Source organism: Homo sapiens, chromosome 9 (assembly GCF_000001405.40).
Source record: "Homo sapiens chromosome 9, GRCh38.p14 Primary Assembly".
In the NCBI taxonomy this organism is placed as follows: Eukaryota; Metazoa; Chordata; class Mammalia; order Primates; family Hominidae; genus Homo; species Homo sapiens.
In genome coordinates, this window is record NC_000009.12 from 135197887 (window position 1) to 135203886 (window position 6000).

The 6000-nt window shown below is 54.0% G+C and overlaps 2 annotated features.

Annotated features, from left to right (window-relative positions):
- Positions 249-906: an enhancer, noted in NCBI's record as "NANOG-H3K4me1 hESC enhancer chr9:138089981-138090638 (GRCh37/hg19 assembly coordinates)". NCBI's record gives its function as "activates a minimal SCP1, AML or CMV promoter by ChIP-STARR-seq in naive H9 embryonic stem cells {active_cell/tissue: H9 hESC(naive)}" and the evidence as "EXISTENCE:reporter gene assay evidence [ECO:0000049][PMID:30033119]".
- Positions 907-1564: an enhancer, noted in NCBI's record as "OCT4-NANOG-H3K4me1 hESC enhancer chr9:138090639-138091296 (GRCh37/hg19 assembly coordinates)". NCBI's record gives its function as "activates a minimal SCP1, AML or CMV promoter by ChIP-STARR-seq in naive and primed H9 embryonic stem cells {active_cell/tissue: H9 hESC(naive and primed)}" and the evidence as "EXISTENCE:reporter gene assay evidence [ECO:0000049][PMID:30033119]".

Below are 6000 nucleotides of genomic sequence, written 5' to 3' on the forward strand. Positions count from 1 at the left end.
GCTGTAGGGGTTCCCTCCTTTAGAGGACAGACCTGTGGGTTTTACAAGGTGTGGGGCCAGAACCCACTCACAGCAGCAACTGACTCAGGGGCTCAGGCAACGACTTCTCTGCTCTTTCTCTTTCCCATGCACAGAGAGCACAGCCTCACTTTCTTACTCTGCAAAGGAGATGGAATTGTCTCCAGCCAAATCAAACTTCTGGAAGGTTCCTAAAGCCACCTGGCTCAAGCTACGTTGCACCCTCCCACCGGGATGCTTTTCCTCTTTCTCCCTTTCGTCGACTCCTCTTCATCCTCCGAACACCACCTTAGCCCATTCCCCAGGAAGCCTTCTCAGCCCCCGCCTGGCTGACACATACCAGGTGGCGCAGGCACCCGAACCTGGGTGTGGGTGCACCGCACGGAGGTTTAAATCGCAGCTCCACCCCTTGCAGCCACTGCTCTGAGCCCCTACCGGCAGGCGGGGAGAGGCAGGAGCCATCCTCACAGGCCCGCCTCGCCTCCCTCTGTGGATCCTGTTTCCCCACCTCCCTAAAAGTGGATCCTGGGCCTCTTCCTTCGGAGCTTCTGCCCTGTCACTTAACTGCTGGCTTCATGTCTGTCTTGAGTAACTCCTCCAGGGTGGAGACGGTGTCTCCTGTGACTGTGTCCCTTTGAGCATCACCCTGAGCCCTGCACACTGCAGACTGTGAGTGAGTAAGGGATAGCTGGGTGAATAGGTGGTCCTGCAGCCAGAACCCCCATTGAGGGCCCCGCTTTGACATATAGACCCCTGGGATCTTAGGCCTCCAGATACCCTGATCTCTGCATCCCACAGGAACCTGTAGACCACCCGACACCAAAGGGAGAGCAAGCCAGGGCTCAGAGCCACTGCAGTCCATAACTCACAGGCCACTCAATTAATGACCCATGGCAGAAGCATGGTGAGTGCAGCCGCCTCTTGGAAGCCACCCCCCGTGTATACAGCACTTGGATTTGTTAAAATATTGAATCTGTTAGGTGGAAAATGAAAAATGCTAGATGAGCCGCTCTTCAGTCTGGCCTCGGGCACATCATGGGAGAGCAAATGCAATCTGCCCCGCCTCACTGGCTCGTTCAGCCCAAGATTAATGGCAGAAGGGTCTGGAGAGGGGCAGGTCTCCAGGCTGGCCGGCTGGAAACCGGTGAAATACGATGGTTTGTAATCTGTGTACTTGTCATGTAAATGAGTGTCCTCAAAGGGCTCTTACATGTGTCTTGGCTTCCATGCAGAAAGCTGAAAGCACCAGACTGAAGGAGGCATTCATCATCCGATCATCCGACAGGTGCAGCTCCGCAGCCCAGAGGTGCCACCACATCCTTCAAGGGCAGATGCGGGGCTTTCTTCTCCCTTCGCAGAGGGGAGGCAGGTGCCTGGGGAATTCGTGTGGCCATAGCTGCAGCACTGGGGAGGGTTAGCCACCCCCTCCCCCACCCAGACCATGGATTTTACCCCCTGGGGAGGGTAACTGGGAGAAAGGAAGCCAGCCCTAGGAGACTCAGCATGCCTGGGAGTTAGTGAAATCAGCCTCTTAGATCTATTTTCCAGCATGTTCTGTTGACAGGGACAAGAAGGCTGATTTTTGAGAGCTGCTTGGGTGTGGCATAGATTGGACATCGGTAAGGACTTCCATCAGACCTGTCTTGAATGGCAAGGAGAGGTTTTGCAGCTGGTCTTCCTAAAAGGCTAGAGAGTCCCCATGCCTGCTAGACCAGGGAAGGCTGGCAGAGTGCGGAATGAAGATGGAAGGGATGAAGGTGGACAGCCAAATTTGGCTCCAGTCCTCTCTTCTCGTGCTGTACCCAGGACAGACATCACTAAGCAATCAGCCACTCATTCCTGCCGAGCCCAGCAAGGACAGCAGATGCCTCCTCCACACAGCTCCTGGGCTGTAAGCAATATAAGCTGACATTGACTAGCTTAAGCCGCACAACCTAAGCAATAATGGCAAAAGGCAATGGGCTTGCTGGGGGACATGAGCAGTTCACAGTGTCCCCGCCAACACTGAAGAGCGGGACTCAACAAGGACAGACCCTGGAGCAGCTCCAGGGGTCCTGGGACCACCACTCAGATTCTCCAGAGGAAGGGTCACTGCCAGGATGCCTCCTCTCCAGCCATGTCTGACCCTTGTGTCTATCCTCTCAAGCTCAGGCTCTGGGGAGGAGAATGTGCAGCTGGGGCCATGTGCTCACCTCTGGCCAGGTGAGGGCATAACTCAACCAGTAACCCCAACCAGACAGATTCCAGAGGGAGTAGTAGTGAGGGGTGCTGGAGCCTGAGGATGGGAACTGGGCCATGTGCAGACAGCCGCAGCTGGCCTCTCTTGGCTCTTCCACAAGCCCCTGCCCAGCCCTGGACCTTAGACCAAGCGTCTGCTCCTGCCTAGGCTGGCAAGCTCTTCTGCCATTGTAGTAGTCCATTCTCACACTGCTAATAAAGACTTATTAGACTGGGGAATTTATAAAGAAAAAGAGGTTTAATGGACTTACCATTCCACGTGGCTGGGGAGACCTCACAATCATGATGGAAGGTGAAGGAGGAGCAAAGTCACATCTTACATGGCAGTAGGCAAGAGAGAGCATGTGCAGGTGAACTGCCCTTTATCAAACCATCAGATCTCATGAGACTTATTAACTGTCAAGAGAACAGCATGGGAAAGACCCACCCCCATGATTCAATTCCCTCCCAGTGGGTCCCTCCCACAACACATGGGGATTATGGGAGCCACAATTCAAGAAGAGATTTGGGTGGGGACACAGCCAAACCATATCAGCTATCAGCCATGGAGGTGAAAGAAATCATGTCATTGGCACTCACTCCAGATCTAGGGGACTCTGGAGAAAAGCAATGTGTGGGCAATGGTGATGTGGATGCCCCATTTGGCAGAGAGAGCAACTCACTCTTGGAGAACCCAGATCCACAGGTAGCCCCCCACTCTGGTTCACAAGCGGGCAACCCACTCTTGGAGAACCCAGATCCGCAGGTAGCCCCCACCTCTGGTTCACAAGCGGGCAACCCACTCTTGGAGAACCCAGATCCGCAGGTAGCTCCCACCTCTGGTTCACAAGCGGGCAACCCACTCTTGGAGAACCCAGATCCACAGGTAGCTCCCCACTCTGGTTCACAAGCGGGCAACCCACTCTTGGAGAACCCAGATCCACAGGTAGCTCCCCACTCTGGTTCACACAGTTCAGCCTGGGGCTTTGACCCCACACCCTAGGCCCATCCCATTTCTCCACAAAGACTTAAACCCGTCACCTTAATGTCTCACATTTTATTTACGTGTGTGATGGATTTGGATAAAACCAAGAAACAAAACCGTTCTGATTTTTTATATTATTTGATCTGGTTCCCAGTATTGTTTTTATCCTACTCTGATATTGGGGCTGTTTTGCTTAAAATGAAAGTTGGGGGAGCCCAACCCCATGCATGTGACTGTGATCCAGTGTGCGGAGTCAGGCTGGCCCATGCGTTTCTTGATGGTTTTCCTATAGGTGATTGTGCCCCTAAGAAGTGATTTTTCTGTGTTTGAAACCCTGTAGAAACGCATCGCTCTGTGTACTCTGCTGCTTCACTGTCGCTTAGTAGCGAGTTTTGGGATTGTTCCATGTGGATGGGGGAATTGCCAGTGCATGCATGTTCGAGGCTGCATAGTGTTCCAGGTGTGGCTGTATGGAACATGTGTCCATTCGCTTCCTGATGAACAACAAAAAAAGTGGGGAGGGGAGAAACCAGCCTAGCTCAGCTGAGCCAAGGAATGGGACAGGGGAGACTTCAGTTTCCAAGCATTGGCGTGTGTGTGTGTGTGTGTGTGTATGTGTGTGTGTGTGTGTGTCTGTGCATGTGTAGGTGATGCACACACACACACGTGTACAGGCTCCTGAGTGATGATTGTGGGGTGGACCAGCCTGGGCTTTCATCGTAGCAGCTGCCAGAAGCTCACCTTCAAGCCAGCCAGCAGCCCCAGCCAGGCTGTGGTGTTTCCTGCGCTGGTGTTTGGAGCCTAACATCTTCAGTATAAAAGTGGGCTGCCGGTTTTGGTTTTTGGTTTCTTTCAAATCTGTAATACACTTGTCAGATGTGAAACTGCATTGGAGCACAGCGCCACACATGTGTCATCCCACGGTGGCACCTGGTTATCAAATATTCGTGTCGGCTTTAACCAGCCTTGCTCGTGACCTGCCCAGGGAGCCTGCTGATGCCTGGCACTGGGAGAGGCTGCTGGAGGCAGTGAGATCATGCCCTCCAGAAGGAGCTGGTAAGCCCTGGGAAGCTGGAACGATAGGGTCACCTGCACCTGCCCGAGGCATCTCTTGCCTGCACCTAACCTAGGCTTCTCTCACCTGCCCTGCTTGAGGCCTCTCTCGCCCACACCTGCCTGAGGCCTTTCTTGCCTGCACCTGCCCGAGGCCTCTCTTACCTGTACTTGTGGGACCCTCATCCTTACTCACCCACACTGTGGCCTCTGTTTTCGCTGGGCAGGATGAGGGCCCCTGGACAGGAGTGAGTTTCATTCTCCTGGGACTATCAGGCCCAAGGAGCCCTCCTCTCCCCTTCCCGGTTCTGGAATCCCACCTGGCATGGCTCAGAGGGCCTGGTTAAGTCCTCCGATTCAGACCGAACCTCAAGGAGGGTCCGTCTTCAGTCAGGATCAGGTGACCTGGAGCCTGAGGACCTGGGGGCACCAGCCAGGCAGGGGATTTCTCTGAGCACCTGAGGGAATGGGAATAGGGTCAGCCAAGGCAGGCAGTGGTCTCCACCACATGGGCTCAGGGGTCCAGGGTCTGAAGTTCTCAGATGGAGGGCAAGGCATCGGCAAGCTTGATGGGGCACACCCATCTCCTGGGGACAGCTTGTTAAAACAAGCCCCTGACTGCTGGTCTGGGCAAAGTGAGGCCGAGGCTTCTGAGCTGGGGCCTGGAAGGTCCGTTAGCTGACTGGTACCTTTGTTCCAAGTCCACTTCCCCAGCACAAACGCCGTGTGCCACTCTGTCTCAGGGAAATTGCTGCAGGTTTTAGGTGAGCCAGCCTCATGAGGGACTCCGGGGCCCAAAGCCCAGGAGATGCTCAGCTGTGAGGACTGTGGAGAACACCAGGCCATCTCGCAAGATGGGAAGAGGGCTCAGCTTGCAAGTGACTCCTGCCTCCTACGTGGCCTGACTCTCCGGAGGCAGAGACCCCACCCCCACCCACCACATGCCTCCCCCAGGGCATCGATCTCGCTGACGAGAATGACAGGTGCCACTCCCTCTCTCCCCAGGGCAGGGTCTGTCCGGCTCATCCCTGGTCCTCTGCAGACCAGGACCCTGGTCTGTAGCTGTTGGAGGGACAGGGGCAGACCGTGCCTTATCCTTCCGGCTGTGCCTTCCAAGCCCCACCTGGTTTCCTTCCTCCCTCCCCATCAGTCTCCCCTAAGAGAGCCCACCTCCTCCTCCCAAATTAGGTCTTCCAAGAAGGATGGATCTGCCACAGGTATGCCTTGCCCAAGCTGCTGGGCTGGATTTGGGGGAGCTCAGCACCACCACTGTAAATGAGAAAGACTCTGATGACGACAGCAGCATAGCCAAGCAGGGGAATATTCCATGGATGCTGCTTTGTATGGGAAATTACATAGGCACTGGCTTAACACACTAATGTCAGAGCAAATAAATATACATGGCCACCATCTCCCCACCCCTGCTGTCTTTCCCCAGCCCCGTGGTGACTCTGGGGCCTCCACATCTTTAATCTTACTGATTCATTCTCCTGCCTTCCATGTGGCATATTAATGTTAGGTCAAAAAGTATTTCATCACTTATTCTGAAGGCCTTATTTCATTTTTATTCAAGAATGTGTAATCCTGAGAAAAAATAATTACATATGAGAGCAACAGTGCAGCTCTGTCCTGAATTCACAGACTCATGAAATCTCAAAACTAGAAAAAGAAACTAAATCCAACCCTTTTGTTTCACACACGGGGAAACTGAGGCCCAGCAGTGGGGA